The 18,127-nt window shown below is 56.8% G+C and overlaps 1 protein-coding gene across 4 annotated transcripts in view, besides 37 other annotated features; it reads left to right on the top strand.

The window, feature by feature from the left end:
* Nucleotides 1-869: a promoter, noted in NCBI's record as "LTR10A placental promoter". NCBI's record gives its function as "bidirectional promoter" and the evidence as "EXISTENCE:reporter gene assay evidence [ECO:0000049][PMID:18474398]".
* Nucleotides 1-4,009: part of a biological region, named in NCBI's record as "NOS3 5' regulatory region", that runs on past the window's edge. NCBI's record gives its function as "regulatory_interactions: NOS3".
* Nucleotides 307-808: a mobile genetic element.
* NOS3 (nitric oxide synthase 3) overlaps nt 649-18,127 on the top strand; it is a 23,572-nt gene continuing 6,093 nt past the window's right edge. The window contains exons 1-17 of one of the 4 annotated variants that reach the window (NM_000603.5): nt 649-932; nt 3,385-3,593; nt 4,835-4,946; nt 6,036-6,184; nt 6,395-6,557; nt 7,989-8,080; nt 8,171-8,312; nt 8,578-8,717; nt 8,822-8,996; nt 10,130-10,231; nt 10,863-11,057; nt 11,176-11,249; nt 11,453-11,597; nt 11,832-11,936; nt 16,059-16,126; nt 16,521-16,637; nt 16,734-16,908. In NM_000603.5, the coding sequence (NP_000594.2) occupies nt 3,436-3,593; nt 4,835-4,946; nt 6,036-6,184; nt 6,395-6,557; nt 7,989-8,080; nt 8,171-8,312; nt 8,578-8,717; nt 8,822-8,996; nt 10,130-10,231; nt 10,863-11,057; nt 11,176-11,249; nt 11,453-11,597; nt 11,832-11,936; nt 16,059-16,126; nt 16,521-16,637; nt 16,734-16,908 (2,112 nt within the window). In that variant the 5' untranslated portion in view covers nt 649-932; nt 3,385-3,435. Of the gene's footprint in view, nt 933-3,384; nt 3,594-4,834; nt 4,947-6,035; nt 6,185-6,394; nt 6,558-7,988; nt 8,081-8,170; nt 8,313-8,577; nt 8,718-8,821; nt 8,997-10,129; nt 10,232-10,862; nt 11,058-11,175; nt 11,250-11,452; nt 11,598-11,831; nt 11,937-12,782; nt 13,573-16,058; nt 16,127-16,520; nt 16,638-16,733; nt 16,909-18,127 lie in introns of those variants that run through there. The other 3 variants (NM_001160109.2, NM_001160111.1, NM_001160110.1) reach the window with 3 other exon arrangements.
* Nucleotides 672-699: a protein binding site, noted in NCBI's record as "FHRE". NCBI's record gives the evidence for it as "EXISTENCE:protein binding evidence [ECO:0000024][PMID:23583951]".
* Nucleotides 1,004-1,804: a DNaseI hypersensitive site, noted in NCBI's record as "HS2; the nucleotide coordinates are approximate for this feature". NCBI's record gives the evidence for it as "EXISTENCE:in vivo cleavage assay evidence [ECO:0001075][PMID:11013235]".
* Nucleotides 1,811-3,413: a promoter, noted in NCBI's record as "1.6 kb promoter construct". NCBI's record gives its function as "drives expression in cardiac myocytes, skeletal myocytes, brain astrocytes" and the evidence as "EXISTENCE:transgenic organism evidence [ECO:0001131][PMID:10079100]".
* Nucleotides 1,871-1,891: a transcriptional cis regulatory region, noted in NCBI's record as "AP-1/1 site (PMID:11382920)". NCBI's record gives its function as "positive regulation of promoter" and the evidence as "EXISTENCE:site-directed mutagenesis evidence [ECO:0005528][PMID:16453281]".
* Nucleotides 2,378-3,435: a promoter, noted in NCBI's record as "-1033/+22 promoter". NCBI's record gives the evidence for it as "EXISTENCE:reporter gene assay evidence [ECO:0000049][PMID:7541039]".
* Nucleotides 2,405-2,441: a protein binding site, noted in NCBI's record as "shear stress response element". NCBI's record gives its function as "mediates induction by shear stress" and the evidence as "EXISTENCE:protein binding evidence [ECO:0000024][PMID:14570928]".
* Nucleotides 2,553-2,573: a protein binding site, noted in NCBI's record as "STAT3 site". NCBI's record gives the evidence for it as "EXISTENCE:protein binding evidence [ECO:0000024][PMID:12857749]".
* Nucleotides 2,608-2,638: a silencer, noted in NCBI's record as "eNOSM1; negative regulation with C allele at rs2070744". NCBI's record gives the evidence for it as "EXISTENCE:reporter gene assay evidence [ECO:0000049][PMID:11063722]".
* Nucleotides 2,608-2,638: a protein binding site, noted in NCBI's record as "eNOSM1; binds with C allele at rs2070744". NCBI's record gives the evidence for it as "EXISTENCE:protein binding evidence [ECO:0000024][PMID:11063722]".
* Nucleotides 2,666-2,696: a protein binding site, noted in NCBI's record as "CRE1". NCBI's record gives the evidence for it as "EXISTENCE:protein binding evidence [ECO:0000024][PMID:12919953]".
* Nucleotides 2,733-2,762: a protein binding site, noted in NCBI's record as "AP-1/2 site (PMID:11382920)". NCBI's record gives the evidence for it as "EXISTENCE:protein binding evidence [ECO:0000024][PMID:18556800]".
* Nucleotides 2,796-2,826: a protein binding site, noted in NCBI's record as "CRE2". NCBI's record gives the evidence for it as "EXISTENCE:protein binding evidence [ECO:0000024][PMID:12919953]".
* Nucleotides 2,898-2,904: a transcriptional cis regulatory region, noted in NCBI's record as "GRE-516". NCBI's record gives its function as "contributes to promoter activity" and the evidence as "EXISTENCE:site-directed mutagenesis evidence [ECO:0005528][PMID:18716005]".
* Nucleotides 2,961-3,761: a DNaseI hypersensitive site, noted in NCBI's record as "HS3; the nucleotide coordinates are approximate for this feature". NCBI's record gives the evidence for it as "EXISTENCE:in vivo cleavage assay evidence [ECO:0001075][PMID:11013235]".
* Nucleotides 3,033-3,053: a protein binding site, noted in NCBI's record as "-370 CACCC". NCBI's record gives the evidence for it as "EXISTENCE:protein binding evidence [ECO:0000024][PMID:14555463]".
* Nucleotides 3,175-3,196: a protein binding site, noted in NCBI's record as "GATA site". NCBI's record gives the evidence for it as "EXISTENCE:protein binding evidence [ECO:0000024][PMID:7541039, PMID:10713142, PMID:14555463]".
* Nucleotides 3,214-3,435: a promoter, noted in NCBI's record as "-198/+22 core promoter". NCBI's record gives the evidence for it as "EXISTENCE:reporter gene assay evidence [ECO:0000049][PMID:7544127]".
* Nucleotides 3,259-3,294: a protein binding site, noted in NCBI's record as "PRDII site". NCBI's record gives the evidence for it as "EXISTENCE:protein binding evidence [ECO:0000024][PMID:9915847]".
* Nucleotides 3,270-3,294: a protein binding site, noted in NCBI's record as "PRDII site". NCBI's record gives the evidence for it as "EXISTENCE:protein binding evidence [ECO:0000024][PMID:9915847]".
* Nucleotides 3,270-3,294: a protein binding site, noted in NCBI's record as "PRDII site". NCBI's record gives the evidence for it as "EXISTENCE:protein binding evidence [ECO:0000024][PMID:9915847]".
* Nucleotides 3,270-3,303: a protein binding site, noted in NCBI's record as "PRDII site". NCBI's record gives the evidence for it as "EXISTENCE:protein binding evidence [ECO:0000024][PMID:9915847]".
* Nucleotides 3,271-3,296: a protein binding site, noted in NCBI's record as "proximal FHRE". NCBI's record gives the evidence for it as "EXISTENCE:protein binding evidence [ECO:0000024][PMID:23583951]".
* Nucleotides 3,291-4,009: an enhancer, noted in NCBI's record as "H3K27ac-H3K4me1 hESC enhancer chr7:150690747-150691465 (GRCh37/hg19 assembly coordinates)". NCBI's record gives its function as "activates a minimal SCP1, AML or CMV promoter by ChIP-STARR-seq in naive H9 embryonic stem cells {active_cell/tissue: H9 hESC(naive)}" and the evidence as "EXISTENCE:reporter gene assay evidence [ECO:0000049][PMID:30033119]".
* Nucleotides 3,294-3,323: a protein binding site, noted in NCBI's record as "-120/-91 PRD1 site". NCBI's record gives the evidence for it as "EXISTENCE:protein binding evidence [ECO:0000024][PMID:9915847]".
* Nucleotides 3,303-3,309: a transcriptional cis regulatory region, noted in NCBI's record as "GRE-110". NCBI's record gives its function as "mediates negative regulation by cortisol" and the evidence as "EXISTENCE:site-directed mutagenesis evidence [ECO:0005528][PMID:18716005]".
* Nucleotides 3,305-3,323: a protein binding site, noted in NCBI's record as "Sp1 site". NCBI's record gives its function as "positive regulation of promoter activity" and the evidence as "EXISTENCE:protein binding evidence [ECO:0000024][PMID:7541039, PMID:7488171, PMID:9915847]".
* Nucleotides 3,340-3,346: a transcriptional cis regulatory region, noted in NCBI's record as "CCCCTCC repeat". NCBI's record gives its function as "contributes to promoter activity" and the evidence as "EXISTENCE:site-directed mutagenesis evidence [ECO:0005528][PMID:15061658]".
* Nucleotides 3,353-3,359: a transcriptional cis regulatory region, noted in NCBI's record as "CCCCTCC repeat". NCBI's record gives its function as "contributes to promoter activity" and the evidence as "EXISTENCE:site-directed mutagenesis evidence [ECO:0005528][PMID:15061658]".
* Nucleotides 3,367-3,373: a transcriptional cis regulatory region, noted in NCBI's record as "CCCCTCC repeat". NCBI's record gives its function as "contributes to promoter activity" and the evidence as "EXISTENCE:site-directed mutagenesis evidence [ECO:0005528][PMID:15061658]".
* Nucleotides 9,858-10,020: a silencer, noted in NCBI's record as "fragment chr7:150697314-150697476 (GRCh37/hg19 assembly coordinates)". NCBI's record gives its function as "represses an EF-1alpha promoter that drives an FKBP-Casp9 reporter gene in an ReSE screen in K562 erythroleukemia cells {active_cell/tissue: K562}" and the evidence as "EXISTENCE:reporter gene assay evidence [ECO:0000049][PMID:32094911]".
* Nucleotides 10,874-12,073: an enhancer, noted in NCBI's record as "CDK7 strongly-dependent group 2 enhancer chr7:150698330-150699529 (GRCh37/hg19 assembly coordinates)". NCBI's record gives its function as "activates an origin of replication core promoter dependent on BRD2, BRD4, P300/CBP, MED14 and CDK7 cofactors, with strong dependence on CDK7, by STARR-seq in HCT116 cells {active_cell/tissue: HCT116}" and the evidence as "EXISTENCE:reporter gene assay evidence [ECO:0000049][PMID:35650434]".
* Nucleotides 11,351-11,851: an enhancer, noted in NCBI's record as "H3K4me1 hESC enhancer chr7:150698807-150699307 (GRCh37/hg19 assembly coordinates)". NCBI's record gives its function as "activates a minimal SCP1, AML or CMV promoter by ChIP-STARR-seq in primed H9 embryonic stem cells {active_cell/tissue: H9 hESC(primed)}" and the evidence as "EXISTENCE:reporter gene assay evidence [ECO:0000049][PMID:30033119]".
* Nucleotides 16,288-16,868: an enhancer, noted in NCBI's record as "H3K4me1 hESC enhancer chr7:150703744-150704324 (GRCh37/hg19 assembly coordinates)". NCBI's record gives its function as "activates a minimal SCP1, AML or CMV promoter by ChIP-STARR-seq in primed H9 embryonic stem cells {active_cell/tissue: H9 hESC(primed)}" and the evidence as "EXISTENCE:reporter gene assay evidence [ECO:0000049][PMID:30033119]".
* Nucleotides 16,869-17,449: an enhancer, noted in NCBI's record as "H3K4me1 hESC enhancer chr7:150704325-150704905 (GRCh37/hg19 assembly coordinates)". NCBI's record gives its function as "activates a minimal SCP1, AML or CMV promoter by ChIP-STARR-seq in primed H9 embryonic stem cells {active_cell/tissue: H9 hESC(primed)}" and the evidence as "EXISTENCE:reporter gene assay evidence [ECO:0000049][PMID:30033119]".

Consider the following 18,127-nt stretch of genomic DNA (forward strand, 5'->3'; position numbering starts at 1 on the left):
CATGGAGAAGGGGACGTAAGGAAGACCTCACAGAGGAGTCATCCTGCGACTGTGTTGGTTGGGTCCTTCAGGAAGCAGAGTCCCAGGAGTTGGAAGCATAAGAGGAATACTGCGGGCAATGCCTGAGAAAGATAACAGGGACCGGGAGCAGGAGTGAGTTGGGCAGGGGAAGGATCAGGCCCACAATGCCAGGCTCACACCTGCAGAGGAGGGAAGAAGAAGAAGGGCCTCACATCAGCCCAGCGGGGGATGTTACGCCCACAGACGCCCCGGGGCTCAGTTACTGTCTAAGTGTTAGAAATAAATTTTCGGTGCCACAAAAGAAATAGCACTCAGATATAAATGTTCCCAGCAAGGCAATTTTACTTCTATAGAAGGGTGCATCTCACAGATGGAGCAATGGCAAGAGCACACCTGAACAAGGGAAGGGAAGGGGTTTTTATCCCTAAGGCAGGTAGCCCCTACAGCTGTGTTGTTCCCCTATTGGCTAGGGTTGGACCACACCGTCTGAGCTAATTGTTACTGGCTATTTTAAAGAGAGCAGGGGTAAGAGCCGGATTGGCAGGGTAAGTAGTTTGGCAGGAAGGACGGTCACAGAACAGGTGACTCAGGATGACTCAGGTCAGAGCAGGTGACCAGTGGTGACTCAGTTCGGAGCAGGTGATAGAAGCTAGGAGGGGGTTGTTTACTGAAACTAGGGGCAAGGAGACGAAGAGAACATGAAAGTTAAACTTTAAGATGAAGAACAAAGCTGAACATACTGATGCATTGGATCTTTGGAGAGGATCTCAGAACTCATTGTACTTAATTTACAGGCTAAAACCTTAGAAGAGGAATTTATTATATCCTACACAAGACTCCAGGGAAGCACATGGCCTTGGACTGAAGGCTGGCATCTGGAAGCTGTCAGCCACCAGCACCTTCTGCAGCAGGTACCTGCTCTCTAAGAGGGAGGCCTGGGTGGTGCACCTCCAGAGCTGCCCAGGCTGGGCCTCAAGGAAGAAAAAGATTTTCATTTGTCAGAGGCGGAAGGGAGAGGTGGAGGGAACAGCACAGCAGCGGCCCAGGGGCAGGGAAGCACAGGACCATTAGGGAGACACGAGAAAGCCCATTTGTCTAGAACAGAGGATTCAAGCAGTGCACCAAGGAAAATGAGGGCCAGGCCAATGTGCTGGAGTGGCTTTGTTCTTGGCTGAGGGTTTTGGGTAGTGCCAAAGCGTAAGGTAAGCCCTGCTTTCCAGAAGAATCTAGCAGAGTGTGGAGCCCAGATGGGACTGGAAGGCCTGGGAGGGGTCAGGTGGCCACAGGGACGGGCCACAGCCAGTGGTGCAGGCAAGAAGACAATGGCCATCCATGGTGGCTCACACCTGGAATCCCAGCCCATTGGGAGGTCGAGGCAGGTGGATCACCTGAGGTCAGGAGTTCGAGACCAGCCTGGTCAACATGGTGAAACCCTGTCTCTAATAAAATTATAAAAATTAGCCGGGCGTGGTGGTGGGTACCTGTAATCTCAGCTACTCAGGAGGCTGGGTCAGGAGAATCGCTTGAACCCAGGAGGCGGAGGTTACAGTGAGCTGAGATAGCACCATTGCATTCCAGCCTGGACAACAAAAGCGAGACTCTGTCTCAAAAAAAAAAAAAAATTAGCCAGGCGTGGTGGTGGGTGCCTGTCGTCCTCGGGAGGCTGAGGCATGAGAATCACTCCGGGAGGCAGAGGTTGCAATGAACCAAGATCACACCACTGCACTCCAGCCTGGGTGACAGAGCAAGACTCTGTCTAAAAAAAAAAAAAAGACAGAAGGATGTCAGCATCTGATGCTGCCTGTCACCTTGACCCTGAGGATGCCAGTCACAGCTCCATTAACTGGGACCTAGGAAAATGAGTCATCCTTGGTCATGCACATTTCAAATGGTGGCTTAATATGGAAGCCAGACTTGGGATCTGTTGTCTCCTCCAGCATGGTAGAAGATGCCTGAAAAGTAGGGGCTGGATCCCATCCCCTGCCTCACTGGGAAGGCGAGGTGGTGGGGTGTGGTGGGGCCTCAGGCTTGGGGTCATGGGACAAAGCCCAGGCTGAATGCCGCCCTTCCATCTCCCTCCTCCTGAGACAGGGGCAGCAGGGCACACTAGTGTCCAGGAGCAGCTTATGAGGCCCCTTCACCCTCCATCCTCCAAAACTGGCAGACCCCACCTTCTTGGTGTGACCCCAGAGCTCTGAGCACAGCCCGTTCCTTCCGCCTGCCGGCCCCCCACCCAGGCCCACCCCAACCTTATCCTCCACTGCTTTTCAGAGGAGTCTGGCCAACACAAATCCTCTTGTTTGTTTGTCTGTCTGTCTGCTGCTCCTAGTCTCTGCCTCTCCCAGTCTCTCAGCTTCCGTTTCTTTCTTAAACTTTCTCTCAGTCTCTGAGGTCTCGAAATCACGAGGCTTCGACCCCTGTGGACCAGATGCCCAGCTAGTGGCCTTTCTCCAGCCCCTCAGATGGCACAGAACTACAAACCCCAGCATGCACTCTGGCCTGAAGTGCCTGGAGAGTGCTGGTGTACCCCACCTGCATTCTGGGAACTGTAGTTTCCCTAGTCCCCCATGCTCCCACCAGGGCATCAAGCTCTTCCCTGGCCGGCTGACCCTGCCTCAGCCCTAGTCTCTCTGCTGACCTGCGGCCCCGGGAAGCGTGCGTCACTGAATGACAGGGTGGGGGTGGAGGCACTGGAAGGCAGCTTCCTGCTCTTTTGTGTCCCCCACTTGAGTCATGGGGGTGTGGGGGTTCCAGGAAATTGGGGCTGGGAGGGGAAGGGATACCCTAATGTCAGACTCAAGGACAAAAAGTCACTACATCCTTGCTGGGCCTCTATCCCCAAGAACCCAAAAGGACTCAAGGGTGGGGATCCAGGAGTTCTTGTATGTATGGGGGGAGGTGAAGGAGAGAACCTGCATGACCCTAGAGGTCCCTGTGGTCACTGAGAGTGTGGGCTGCCATCCCCTGCTACAGAAACGGTGCTCACCTTCTGCCCAACCCTCCAGGGAAAGGCACACAGGGGTGAGGCCGAAGGCCCTTCCGTCTGGTGCCACATCACAGAAGGACCTTTATGACCCCCTGGTGGCTCTACCCTGCCACTCCCCAATGCCCCAGCCCCCATGCTGCAGCCCCAGGGCTCTGCTGGACACCTGGGCTCCCACTTATCAGCCTCAGTCCTCACAGCGGAACCCAGGCGTCCGGCCCCCCACCCTTCAGGCCAGCGGGCGTGGAGCTGAGGCTTTAGAGCCTCCCAGCCGGGCTTGTTCCTGTCCCATTGTGTATGGGATAGGGGCGGGGCGAGGGCCAGCACTGGAGAGCCCCCTCCCACTGCCCCCTCCTCTCGGTCCCCTCCCTCTTCCTAAGGAAAAGGCCAGGGCTCTGCTGGAGCAGGCAGCAGAGTGGACGCACAGTAACATGGGCAACTTGAAGAGCGTGGCCCAGGAGCCTGGGCCACCCTGCGGCCTGGGGCTGGGGCTGGGCCTTGGGCTGTGCGGCAAGCAGGGCCCAGCCACCCCGGCCCCTGAGCCCAGCCGGGCCCCAGCATCCCTACTCCCACCAGCGCCAGAACACAGGTAAGGGCCAGGCAGCTAGGAGCAGGTGGGCAACAAGGGTGGTGTCAAGGCCTGAAGCCTGGGGCTGGGAAGGTCTGGAACTTGTAGCTGAGTCGGGAGGGCCAGGTCACAAATGCAAAAGGGCTATTAATGTGCATAGAACAGGACAGTCTGGGAGGCTCAGAAAGGAGACCAGGATCAGAGTCGGCAGGTGAAAGCTGGGAGTAAGGGTGCCAGCTATAGAATCTGGCCAGGGTTTGAATGCTGCTCTGCCGCCAGGAGCTGTTTGACTTTGAGCAAGTTACTTAATCTCTCTGAACCTCCATTTATATAAAACGAGATATGGCAATACTTACTCCATGGGGAAGTAAGTTTCTAGCTCACAGCAAGCCTTCAACAGCAGCGATGATTATTTAGCTGGAGAAGAAAGGAGCTGACAGCAGTGGTTACAGGAGTGAGAAAGTGGGGTCTCCCAGAAGAGGGAGAGAGTTGGGCAGGAAACTCGGGCCCTTGGGGTAAGCAGGCTGAGAAGACAGAGCCACCAGGCTTTTTTCCCCTGCTCCAGCCCCCTCTCCTCGTGGCTGTCACCCGAAAACTGGACCATGCAGTTCCCACAAGAGTCCTCCCGGGGGTAGAGGTCCCAGGAGGGAGGAAAGACCCGGAGGCCTGGTGGGGTGCCAGGCCGGGGGCAGGCTGGGGCTGCAGGCAGCTATGCAGGGAAGGCTGAGGGCCGGGGCCCTGCTGCTCAGGCGCACCCTTGGCCTGAGTCCCTCCCTTCCTCCCTGCCGCTGGTGGCTCTGGGAGGAAGTGATAAGGCCTGCGAGGCTTCCCTTCACACATGGGGCTGCTGTCAGGAGGGGTTGTGAGTGCGGAGGGAAATCAGAGCTGAGGAATCCCTGCAGGGCTTCCCTCCACTCAAGCACCAGGCTCTGTCCCCCTCAGGGTAGGGCTTATAGCAGCTTTGCGGGGGGTGGACACCCCATCTCCAGAAGAGGTGAGGTGGGCGCTGCAGGTGGGATGCGAACTTAGCCTCGGGTCAGGGGCTCAGGAGCTCAGCACCAGCAGCCCCTGCAGCCCAGGACCCTGGTCTATAAACGGAGGCACAGCTCGCCTCTAGCTCCTAAGGCATGGGGAACGCCAGAAGGCATGCGGCAGGTGGGCTGTGAGATCGCCAGTGCTGTAACAGGGGCCTCCGGGTGACATCTGGGAAGGCTGAAAGGAAACAAACCCTTCCTGATGACCCTATCCCTGGCTCCCAACAGCCCCCCGAGCTCCCCGCTAACCCAGCCCCCAGAGGGGCCCAAGTTCCCTCGTGTGAAGAACTGGGAGGTGGGGAGCATCACCTATGACACCCTCAGCGCCCAGGCGCAGCAGGTAAGGCCGGCATGCCCTGTCCCCATCGTCTCCAGGGAAAGGGTGGGTAAGGCCTGGCCTCAGATGGGGCCGGAGAGGGAAGCTCAACCCTTCTTTGAATTGGTCCCTTGTTTCCAAAAAGAGGAGAGGACTGGGAAGAACCAGAGGAGTTGAGGGACATGCACGGGACTTGGGTGACCCTCAGCCTCCAGCCTTACCCCCAACCCTGGCTCAAACTCTCCCCCATCCCACCCCTGCACCCCTTTCCCCCCTCCCACCCCTGCACCCTTCCTCCCTCTCCCCCCGTCCCCTGCCTGCATTCCTCCTCCCTCTCCCCATCTCACCCCTGCACCCCTCTTCCCTCTCCCACCCCTGCACCCCTCCTCCCTCTCCCCGTCCCACCCTGCACTCCCGCCCTCTCCAGCGTCCCACCCCTACACCCCTCCTCCCTCTGCCCCATTCCACCCCTGCACCCCCTCCTCCCTCTGCCCCGACCCACCCCTGCACCCCTCCTCCCTCTCCCCCGTCCCACCCCTGCATCCCTCCTCCCTCTGCCCCGTCCCACCCCTACACCCCTCCTCCCTCTCCCCCATCCCACCCCTAAACCCCTCCTCCCTCTCCCCTGTCCCATCCCTGCACCCTTCCTCCCTCTCCCCGTCCCATCCCTGCACCCTTCCTCCCTCTCCCCGTCCCATCCCTGCACCCCTCCTCCCTCTGCTCCCATCCCACCCCTGCACCCCTCCTCCCTCTGCCCCTACCCCACCTCTGCACCCCTCCTCCTTCTCCCCATCCCACCCCTGCACCCCTCCTCCCTCTGCCCCTACCCCACCCCTGCACCCCTCCTCCTTCTCCCCATCCCACCTCTGCACCCCTCCTCCCTCTCCCCTCTCCCACCCCTGTACCCTTCCTCCTTCTCCCCGTCCCACCCCTGCACTTCTCCTCCCTCTCACCCATCCCACCCCTGCACCCTTCTTCCCTCTCCCCCATCCCACCACTGCACCCCTCCTCCCTCTCCCCCTGTTCCACCCCTGCACCCCTCCTCCCTGCCCCCAACTCCCATCCCACCCCTGCACCCTGGCCTGTCCTGACCTTTGCACTCCCTCGACCCAGGATGGGCCCTGCACCCCAAGACGCTGCCTGGGCTCCCTGGTATTTCCACGGAAACTACAGGGCCGGCCCTCCCCCGGCCCCCCGGCCCCTGAGCAGCTGCTGAGTCAGGCCCGGGACTTCATCAACCAGTACTACAGCTCCATTAAGAGGTGACAGCTTCCCGGACGCCACAGCCTCCCTTGTCCCACTGAGGCCCCAGAAACCCCGTGACGACCTTCCCATGACCCCCTCCCTTCCCAGATCCTAACACCACGTGGGCCCCTCCCGCCCTCCCCCAGCACTTGCACAAAGCCTGGAGGAGGGCCTCCCTGTCCCACACAACTTCCTGCTTGTCCCCTTCCCACCCCTCTCCTCCCCAGGAGCGGCTCCCAGGCCCACGAACAGCGGCTTCAAGAGGTGGAAGCCGAGGTGGCAGCCACAGGCACCTACCAGCTTAGGGAGAGCGAGCTGGTGTTCGGGGCTAAGCAGGCCTGGCGCAACGCTCCCCGCTGCGTGGGCCGGATCCAGTGGGGGAAGCTGCAGGTGCGGCTGGCCAGCGACTGAGAGACCCGGGCGCTACCAAAAGGGGAGCGGGGTGGCGGGGCAGTTCCTAAGGCTTCCCGGGGGCTGGGAGGTCCCAAACTGTGGGGGAGATCCTTGCCTTTTCCCTTAGAGACTGGAAAGGTAGGGGGACTGCCCCACCCTCAGCACCCAGGGGAACCTCAGCCCAGTAGTGAAGACCTGGTTATCAGGCCCTATGGTAGTGCCTTGGCTGGAGGAGGGGAAAGAAGTCTAGACCTGCTGCAGGGGTGAGGAAGTCTAGACCTGCTGCAGGGGTGAGGAAGTCTAGACCTGCTGCAGGGGTGAGGAAGTCTAGACCTGCTGCGGGGGTGAGGAAGTCTAGACCTGCTGCGGGGGTGAGGACAGCTGAGCGGAGCTTCCCTGGGCGGTGCTGTCAGTAGCAGGAGCAGCCTCCTGGAAAAGCCCTGGCTGCTGCTTCTCCCCCAAGAGAGAAGGCTTCTCCCGCCAGGCCAGTCCAGTGCAGCCCCTCACCCACACCCACTGCTACCCCAGTTCCCCTGCTTCGGCCCGCACCCTCCCTCACACCCCAGCCCACAGACTCGGGGCTGGCCTTAGTTACTGGAACGCCTGTGACCACAGCACTAAGAGAAGCAAGCTGCCCCATGGGGGACTTGGTCCCATGGCCTTGGCCTCCTTCACCATCACTGGCCGCCAAAGAGTTTGAAATAAAGCCACGTGCCCAGTGAATCCCAAAGGAACCTCAACTAAAATAAAAACAATCCTATCTGACACTTGCCTGACCCTCTAAGTCATTCAAAGCTTTAGCTCAACTTCGATCCATCTGAGCTGCCATAGTGGACCCCACTCAGAGCTGCGTCCCTCCCTTGACCCCAGGTTGGTCCCTGCCACTCCCCTGCCCCTGTCACTGACACATGTTTCCTCCTCCCTCAGGCAGGAGTGGGACCTCCCAGCCTCCTCCTGGGGCCTCCACTCAGAATGTCAGGATGAGCAGGGTCCTAGGAGGCCTCTGGTGCAGCCTTCCCTTCCCACCATCCATGTGCTCAAAGAGAATCACCCGTCCTTTCTTGAATGCCATGGATCATGGGGGATTTGCTGCCCACACTCCTAGGCGGCCTCTTAGACATCCGTTGGTGCCTAACCCAAGCATCAGTTTGGCAGAGGCCGAGTCCCTCCTCTGTACTGGATACCAAGTCAGCTTCCATAGGGATGGGGAGACACCTGGCCCAGGGAGGAGATGAGAAGCAGCCCGGATGGTGCTACATATGTCAGAGAGCAGGGCAGGAAGGGATCAGTGTGGCTGCCAATGGTCAGGAGGGCGCCATGGAGTGAACCATGGCCCCTGCCTCCTCACCAGCAGCTCCTCTGGAGCTGATACTCAAGACCCCCCGTCTCTCTCCTCACCCTCCTCTCCCGCTGCCTCGGCTGGCTCAGGTGTTCGATGCCCGGGACTGCAGGTCTGCACAGGAAATGTTCACCTACATCTGCAACCACATCAAGTATGCCACCAACCGGGGCAACCTTCGGTGAGTGCCCCCCACCATGCCAGGCCCCAGCCTTCTTCCCCAAGGCAGGGAAGGCGGGGCTCTGACCAGCTCTTTCCCCATGCGTGCCAGCTCGGCCATCACAGTGTTCCCGCAGCGCTGCCCTGGCCGAGGAGACTTCCGAATCTGGAACAGCCAGCTGGTGCGCTACGCGGGCTACCGGCAGCAGGATGGCTCTGTGCGGGGGGACCCAGCCAACGTGGAGATCACCGAGGTGGGCACCGAGGGCCACCCATGAGGGTGTCCCCAAGGTGGAGAATGAGGAAACCAGTGGGAGAAGGCTCGGGGGATCCAGGCAGGAAGAGGGGAGCCTCGGTGAGATAAAGGATGAAAAACACCAAAGGAGGGGTGCCTGGGTGGTCACGGAGACCCAGCCAATGAGGGACCCTGGAGATGAAGGCAGGAGACAGTGGATGGAGGGGTCCCTGAGGAGGGCATGAGGCTCAGCCCCAGAACCCCCTCTGGCCCACTCCCCACAGCTCTGCATTCAGCACGGCTGGACCCCAGGAAACGGTCGCTTCGACGTGCTGCCCCTGCTGCTGCAGGCCCCAGATGATCCCCCAGAACTCTTCCTTCTGCCCCCCGAGCTGGTCCTTGAGGTGCCCCTGGAGCACCCCACGTGAGCACCAAAGGGATTGACTGGGTGGGATGGAGGGGGCCATCCCTGAGCCTCTCAAGAAGGGCCTGCAAGGGGGTGCTGATCCCACACCCCAACACCCCCAGGCTGGAGTGGTTTGCAGCCCTGGGCCTGCGCTGGTACGCCCTCCCGGCAGTGTCCAACATGCTGCTGGAAATTGGGGGCCTGGAGTTCCCCGCAGCCCCCTTCAGTGGCTGGTACATGAGCACTGAGATCGGCACGAGGAACCTGTGTGACCCTCACCGCTACAACATCCTGGAGGTGAGGTGCGGGATGGGGCTCGGGCACCGAATGCACCTGTCCAAGGCAGGAGTCTGGCTCTCACTCCATCCCCAAAATGCCAGCCACGGGGACAATCAGAGCAGGTCCAGGGTTGCCTCCTAAATGGGAACTGAGGACAAGCTCTAGAACCACTGAAGCAAAGGGGTAGGGGGTGGCAGGGGTGTGTGTGGGGGTGTGAGTGGGTGAGTGTGAGAGTGTGGGTTTCTGGGGTGTGCAGTGGGTGAGAGTGTGGGCTTGTGGGGTGTGTAGTGGGTGTGAGACTGTGGGTTTGTAGGGGTGGGTGAGTGTGGGTGTGTGGGGGTAGGTGGGTGTGGGTTTGTGGGTGTGTATAGGCAGTGACTGTGAGACTGTGGGTTTGTGGGGGTAGGTGACTGTGGGTTTGTGGGGTGTGTAGGGGTGAGTGTGTGTGGGTTTGTAGGGGTAGGCGAGTGTGGGTTTGTGGGGTGTGTAGGGGTGAGTGTGTGTGAGTTTGTAGGGGTAGGCGAGTGTGGGTTTGTGGGGTGTGTAGGGGTGAGTGTGTGTGAGTTTGTAGGGGTAGGTGAGTGTGGGTTTGTGGGGTGTGTAGGGGGTGTGTGTGGGCTTGTAGGGGTAGGCGAGTGTGGGTTTGTGGGGTGTGTAGGGGCGAGTGTGAGAGTGTAGGTATGTGGGTGTGAGTGTGGATGTGTGTAGGCGGTGAGTGTGAAATTGTGGGTTTGTGGGGGTGGGTGGGTGTGAGTGTGTGGGTTTGTGGGTGGGTGTGGGTGTGAGTGGGTGGGTGAGGGGGGCATGGGGATGGGTGTGAACATGTAGTTGTTCTTTCAGGCATAGGACCCATAGCTCTAGAGCTTTCATCAGATTCTCAAAGGGGACCTTGACTCGGCAAAGGTTAAGACCCATTTTAGAGATGAGAAATTAAAGCCTGGAGCTGAGGAGCGACTGGCCCAAAGTCCCTCTCTGCTCTGAGGTGCCTTCGCAGGCAAAAACCTGAACCAGCCCCCTAGGCAGCCAGGCCTCCCAATGGACACCACTCACCTCACTCCTTCCAGCCATGTACGGGAAACAGAGATAGTCTCCCCACCCCACCCCCGTGATCACCTCTGTCCCTACCGATGCCACACACCCTTCTGCCCCAGGATGTGGCTGTCTGCATGGACCTGGATACCCGGACCACCTCGTCCCTGTGGAAAGACAAGGCAGCAGTGGAAATCAACGTGGCCGTGCTGCACAGTTACCAGGTGCAGAGGCCCAGACTGGCCAGGAAGGCAAAGGGTTTGCATACGGGGGCAGCAGGGGCGGGGGATGGAGGAGAGGCAGCCATTTAGAAACTAGGGCAGGATTTGGACAGGCAGAAGAAGTTCCGTAGTCCCAGTGCCATGGCGCACACTGGCCTGCGGTTCGGGGACAGGGCAGGTACTATTCCAGGCGCTGTCATCTGGTGGCTTACTGTGTGCCAGGGACCTTGCTGTTTACTGCATGCCCAGTCATGCTGATTCTCAGGGCATATTGGGTATTGCAGTTTGTGGGACCCGCTGGATCCTGGAAACAAATACCAGGATCAAGGGCACACCAGGAGTCGTAGTTTGAGGAAGCCGGGGCCTGCTGAGAATTTCTGTGGGCTATTTGGTTTGGGGACCAGGCATGCAGATGCTGGAGATTAGAGCTGCTTGTTGCATGTTGAACCTGCAGCATGACCATGCATGATGTGGTTTGGGGTGAGGGTGACATTGTGGTTTGAGGGGACACAGGGTGTGTTAGATATGGGGTAATCGAGGGCACATGTGGTTTGGGGTGACCGGAGTGGTGGAGGAAGAATGGGCGAGGTCTGTGGGTCTGGTTTGAGCCTCTCCCCCTCTCTCTCCCTTCCAGCTAGCCAAAGTCACCATCGTGGACCACCACGCCGCCACGGCCTCTTTCATGAAGCACCTGGAGAATGAGCAGAAGGCCAGGGGGGGCTGCCCTGCAGACTGGGCCTGGATCGTGCCCCCCATCTCGGGCAGCCTCACTCCTGTTTTCCATCAGGAGATGGTCAACTATTTCCTGTCCCCGGCCTTCCGCTACCAGGTGCCCACCCTAACTGGCTCTGCCAGCCTGGGCCCAGCTCTAATTCTAAGCAGCCCCTGGGGACCTCTAACCTTTCCTTTTCTTTACCTCCCCTCCCAACCCCATCATCTCTCTGCAGCCAGACCCCTGGAAGGGGAGTGCCGCCAAGGGCACCGGCATCACCAGGAAGAAGACCTTTAAAGAAGTGGCCAAGTGGGTCCCCTGGGAGCCCCGCTCTCCCACACACACCCTGGGGGCCCCACTCTCCCCCACACACCCTGGGGGACCCTGCCCCAGCAGTGTTCTGGGCCTACCACTCAGTATCCCAAAACCCTGTTGTGAGGGGGTTGGACCCTTGCCTGGGGAGGCCCTGCCTCTGTGCACCCAGGACACCCTCACACCTTCCTCTCCCGCAGCGCCGTGAAGATCTCCGCCTCGCTCATGGGCACGGTGATGGCGAAGCGAGTGAAGGCGACAATCCTGTATGGCTCCGAGACCGGCCGGGCCCAGAGCTACGCACAGCAGCTGGGGAGACTCTTCCGGAAGGCTTTTGATCCCCGGGTAGGGCTGAGCCCAGGGGAGCAGGGAGCTAGAAAGAGGGGGCTCTATCAGCATCTTCAGGGGTGCCCTGGAGGACAGGAAGTGTTACAAGTCAGGACTCATGAGGAACCCGGAACCACAGGTGTTCAGAGATCAAGTTGGGGCCTGAATCTTGCACTGCCAGGGAGGCCAGAGTGAGGAGGGCAGGGCCTCCGGGGGCCACAGCACCCAGGACATCTGTCTTCCCACCCACAGGTCCTGTGTATGGATGAGTATGACGTGGTGTCCCTCGAACACGAGACGCTGGTGCTGGTGGTAACCAGCACATTTGGGAATGGGGATCCCCCGGAGAATGGAGAGGTGAGAACTTCCAGGAAAGGGGCTGCTGGGAATGAGGAGAGACTCAGAATTGGAGTGACTGGGCAGGAACCTCTGCCCAACACACACACACACACACACACACACACACACACACACACACACACACACACACACACACACACACACACGCCAGGATGGAAAGGGAGATGCTAAGAGACCCCTGGAGCCTGAAACCCCACACAAGCTACGCTCCCAGCCCACCCATGTGGCTGCCTCCCTGCAAGCACATTTGCTTAACTGCGCGTCCCCAAGTCATTTCCATTATCAGTGCAAGTTTTTAATACAAGGAAGGCACATCCTGGCTGACCAAGAGGTTAGACTGTGCTCGGGCACTGACAAGAAAAACAGGGATACGTCACTGAGGGCGGCTTCTAGGATGCGGGTAATGTTTCTTAATGGGATACTGGTTACACAGGTGTGTTCAGTTTGTAAAAATCCACAGAGCTGTACATTTACAACATGTGCAACACTATTCCAGCATTTTATTTTATTTGTTTTATTTATTTTGAGAACCTATTTACGTTGCCCAGGCTGGCCTTGAACTCCTAGCCTCAAGAGATCCTCCTGCCGCAGGCTCCTTTTTCAAAAGAAGAAATTGAGCGCTGTTTAGATGCCAACATAGATTAAATAACTTCACTTTTTAAAAAGAAACACAAAGCTAGAGTACCATCATTGAATTCCTTCTCTTGCAAGCTTAGGTATCTCTGAGGTGCCCCAGGCTAGGCTCATTTCTGAGTCTTACCTGCTCCAGCTTCTAGGTGTTAAAGGCCTTATTAGCACTAAGTACTTCCTCAGTACTCTTTTTTCTTTTTTCCTTTGAGACAGGGTCTCACTTTGTGGCCCAGGCTGGAGTGCAGTAGTACAATCACGGCTCACTGCAGCCTCAACCTCCTAGACTCAAGCAATCCTCCCACTTCAACCTCCCAAGTAGTTGGGACTACAGGCGCATGCCATGATGCCTAGCTAATTTTTGTATTTTTTATAGAGATGGGGTTTCGCCATGTTGCCCAGGCTGGTCTCTAACTCCTGGGTTCAAGCAATCCACCTGCCTCGGCCTCCCAAAGTGCTGCGATTATAGACGTGAGCCACTGCACCTGGCCCTCAGTATCTTAAGCAAGTTGGAATCTCGTGAAACCCTTTTTGCTGCCTTAGTGTCCGTTTCAGCCCTCATTCTGACCTACCTTTTCAAGAAAAATAGCACCAGCAATTGACTTTTTTTTAGCATAAAGGTGTATAGACACCCATATAACCTACAGCCTTCACAAGGCATAGCACATTTTCACCACCCTGGAAAGTTCCCTCATCAGTTCCTCACGTGAATCCCTTCCCAGTCTGTCTCCCTGCCAGAAGTGTCTGTCACCACAGAATAGTTTCGCCTGCTCTAGAACGGCACCTAGATGGAAGCACGCAGTGTTGCGGCGTCTCCTGCTGAGGCTGTTTTTGAGGCGCACTCGTGTTGCTGCGTGACTCAGTATTTCACTCATTCTGCTGCTGAGTGCCGTTCATTGTGTGAATATCCCCAGTTTGTTTACCCATTCTCTTGTTGGTGACACTTGGGCTGTTTCCAGGTCGGGGCTATTATGAATAAACCTGTTATGAACATTCTTGTACCCGGCTTTTGTGGGCTTATGTTTTTATTTCTCTTGGGTAAATACCTAGGAGTAGAATTGGTAGGTCATAGGGTAGATGCATGTTTAATCTTTCACTTTTTTAAAAAATAAAACTGCCAGGCCAGGCGCGGTGGCTCACGCCTGTGATCCCAGCACTTTGGGAGGCCCAGGTGGGTGGATCACTTGAGGTCAGAAGCTCAAGACCAGCCTGGCCAACATGGCAAAACCCTGTCTCTACTAAAAATACAAAAATTAGCTGGGCATGGTGGCGCACGCCTATAGTCCTAGCTACTCAGGAGGCTAGGCGGGAGAATTGCTTGAACCTGGGAGGTGGAGGTTGCAGTGAGCCGAGATCACGCCACTGCACTCCAGCCTGGGTGACAGAGCAAGAATTCTACTTAAAATAAAATACAAATAAATAAAATAAAACTGTCAAACAGCAAAGCAAATTAAACTGCCCTTTAACATCTGTGCAGTTCAATGTATGTTAATTTTATCCCAAATTTTTAACAAATCTAGGAATACAGCTCACAGAAAATGGGGTATATTCACTAAAAATAAGGAATATTTATAGCAAATTTGTTTGTAATACCCCACACTGGAAACAATTCAAATGACCATCGACAAATACTGATAAATTGTGGTATATTCAAGTGCCATATCGCACTAAGTGTGAACGAAACACAACCACACACAACAGTGCAGGTGAATCTCAAAAAATGTGAAGAGAAGAAAAAGCCAGACCAAAGAATACATACTGTACTACAGGGTTCACTTTATATAAAGTTCAGAAACAGGCAGAACTAATCCACGGAGTTAGAAATTAGGAGAGGAGTTAGTCACTGGGATGGGGGTGGCAGTGACAGGAAGAAGGCACGAAGTTGGCTTCTAGGATGCGGGTAATGTTTGTTTGTTTGTTTGTTTGTTTGTTTTTGTTTTTGAGCTGGAGTCTCACTCTGTTGCCCAGGCTGGAGTGCAATGGCGTGATCTCGGCTCACTGCAACCTCCGCCTCCCCGGTTCAAGCGATTCTCCTGCCTCAGCCTCCCGAGTAGCTGGGATTACAGGTGCCCGCCACCATGGCCAGCTAATTTTTGTGTTTTTAGTAGAGACGCGGTTTCACCATGTTGGCCAGGCTGGTCTTGAATCCCTGACCTCAGCCTCCCAAAGTGCTGGGATTACAGGCGTGAGCCACCACGCCCAGCCACGGGTAATGTTTCTCGATGGGATGCTGGTTGCACAGGTGTGTTCAGTTTGTGAAAACTTACAGAGTTGTACATTTACAACATGTGTGCACCTCTGGACTTGTGTTGCACGTTGACAAAACATTCAAAAATGAAATTCAAATCGTTCTTGCTAACTCTGGCGCACTTGGGAACCAGCACCCAGAGGCATCTGCAGTTGAGCACCAGATGCAGTTCCTTCCAGCTTCCTTCCCCCTGGGAGGTCCGCTTGATGCCACTTCTTCATGGCAGCACAAACAAGGCCATGGTCTTCTGAGGAGGGCAACCTGCACAATGTCTGCTAGTGACCAGGACACTGCTGAAGGAACTGAGAGTTTGTCCACCCATGAAATCCACTAAAACAGGAAAGATTTTGCTCTAGCCGTTGTTAGCCAGGAGTGAGGAAAGAGCTGTGCCCTCCCCTGCAGCTGCGAGGACGATCTGCCTGCCCCAACAAGTGGGGATTCAGCAACTCCACTTCTAAGGATTACCCAGCTGAAGCATTTAAAAGTGGGAGCAAGGCACACGTACAAGGGCGTTTGAGAGAGCACCTGTTCCCAGACCACCGAGCTGCCCTTCAGTCTCAGTGAAGTACAATGTAGCCACTAAAAAGACTGAGGTCATGTTTTGGAAAGTCCAGGCCGGAGGATCGCTTGAGCCCAGGAGTTCAAGGCCAGACTGAACAACACAGCGAGACTCCATCTCTTCAGAAAATTTAAAAATTAACCAAGAGTGGTGGCACGCACCTATAGATCTAGCTACTAGGAAGGCAGAAAAATCCCTTAAGCCCAGGAGTCTGAGGTTACAGTGAATGATGATGGAGCCACTGCACCCCAACCTGGGCGACAGAGCAAGACCCATATCTAAAAACAATACTACTACTTACGTCAATATTGTTGTATTGACCTGGAGGGATGTCTGCAATAAATTATTGATTAAAACCAAGGAAGTACAGTATGGTACCACTTTTACTTAAAAAAAAACTATAAATATGCACATGCACGTAAGTTCAAGGAAAAAGGGCTGGAAGGTTAACACCTGTCAATGGCGCATATGCCCGGAGGGAAGATGGGGTGGTCTTTGTCTTATCACTTTACACATTTCTGTAATGTCATTTTTCAAAAACATCAGATCGCTTTTGAAATTTTCAAAACAAATAAAAATTAAGTTACAAATCAATAATAATGAGGATCAGCTGGTACAGTTTTAAACTTCTATGTAGTTTGAAATGAAACAAAACTAACCCTGATGCAAACACTCCCCTCGCCAGAGCTTTGCAGCTGCCCTGATGGAGATGTCCGGCCCCTACAACAGCTCCCCTCGGCCGGAACAGCACAAGTGAGTTGGGTGAGAGTTTGGGGGAGCTGGGGGAGCTGATGCATTTGGAGACACAAACAGAAAGGGGGTCTGAAAAGCTCTCCCTCTGTGCCTCAAGTCGTTTTCCCACCAAAAGCCAGGGCTCCAGGATGCCCTCCATTCCAGGCTGCAATGGCAGTCCAGACCTGCCTGCTTCTGAGAGCCGGGACAGTCCTGAGGTCTTCAGAGATGGGGGTGTGGTGTGTCAGGGCCCCAGGCTCGGAACCCCAGGGATGCTGGCCCTCAGCCCCTCCCAAGGGCAGGGCCTTTCCTGTCCCAGAGGCAGAGACCCTGAAGCCGTCCCTGGGGCTGGGGCTGGGCCTAGCCTGTATCCCCAGGGCCCTGTGACAACCTTGTCTTTGTCCTCTCTTGCCAGGAGTTATAAGATCCGCTTCAACAGCATCTCCTGCTCAGACCCACTGGTGTCCTCTTGGCGGCGGAAGAGGAAGGAGTCCAGTAACACAGACAGTGCAGGGGCCCTGGGCACCCTCAGGTCAGGGCCTCACCAAGAGGGGTGCAACGGGTGGGCAAGCTGCCTGGGCAAACGTGGCCTGCAAAGGGAGCTCCACTGACGACCCCTGCACCCCAGGTTCTGTGTGTTCGGGCTCGGCTCCCGGGCATACCCCCACTTCTGCGCCTTTGCTCGTGCCGTGGACACACGGCTGGAGGAACTGGGCGGGGAGCGGCTGCTGCAGCTGGGCCAGGGCGACGAGCTGTGCGGCCAGGAGGAGGCCTTCCGAGGCTGGGCCCAGGCTGCCTTCCAGGTGAGCCCAGCCCAGCCCCTGCTCTGACTCCTGCCCCCTGGGATGCCTCCTCCTGCCTCACTCTGCCCTGATTCTGTTTGGTTCTTTGGTCCCTTCCTGTTCCTTCCAAAATCCACCCTCATCTCTCCATGGCATAGCCAGCTCTTCTGGGTCAGGGGCAGAGGATGACATGGCCCTGCCGACCACAGGGGTGCCTAGCCCAGGCAGAAGTGCAGCCGAAAGAGAGCAGGCAGGGCCCTGGCAGGAGGGAGCTTCAGCCAGGCACAGGCTGGGCCTCACAAGTGGGCGCACAAAGGGAGGGGGTGCAGGGCAGGGCAGGGGACCCCACCCAGGATGGGCAGGATGGAGGGAGAAGGAAGGGACAGAGAGAAGGTCAGACAGAGGCAAGGGCTGAAGCTGAGGCCAGCACAGAAGCCACAGGAAGCCAGAGGCCAGACAGCCTGGGGCGGTGCCTGCACCGCAGAACTGGTCCCGGGCCGGGCAAGCAAGCACAGGGAGAGGTGGATCCCTGGGGGCTGTGGCTTTTTAAGCCTGGGCTTCCTCAGGGGCAGTGCTGCCTGTCTGGGGATCATGTCTGCAGTTGACAAGGGCTCGGTCTCCCCAGTGCCACACTGTTCAGGGCAGTGCTGCTGTCCCGGGGCCCAGGCTGGAGCTCAGCAGATTTGCCTTGATTGGAGGAGGAGGGCATCCTAGGAGGAGAGGGAGTGGGGGCTACCTCAGGGACGGGGAGGTCAGGCTGCAGAAACACATAGGCCCTGATTGGGAAGAAGGGAACGGAAAATAAGACTTAAAGAATTTAAACAAAAAGAGCCATTGCAGCGGGATGAGACCACATCATCAGGTTTTGGGAATAGGACTTTAGAGGCGTAGGATCCATTACAGCATCACCGAACCAGAAGCAGGAAGGCTGAGCTAAGCAGAGCAGCAGCAGTGGAGATAGGAAGGAAGGGAGGGAGGGGCCGAGGAAGGAAGGAAGAGATATAAGACTTCACACGCACCACAAAAGAAAGATTAACGGGACTTGGTGATATGAGGCTCAGCCAATCACGGGTGAGCCCTGCATTTCAAGCCTGGGACTGGCCCAGCAGTTTTCCAGCTGTGTGCCTGACCAGGAGTAGACGGGATCCACACCCTCCCAGGGATCTGCCCCGTGGGGTCCCCTCTGCCGCCCGAATTGTGCGTCCCTTCCCAGGAGCACTTACTATCTGCACGCACTTTG

Source organism: Homo sapiens, chromosome 7 (assembly GCF_000001405.40).
Source record: "Homo sapiens chromosome 7, GRCh38.p14 Primary Assembly".
NCBI lineage: Eukaryota > Metazoa > Chordata > Mammalia > Primates > Hominidae > Homo > Homo sapiens.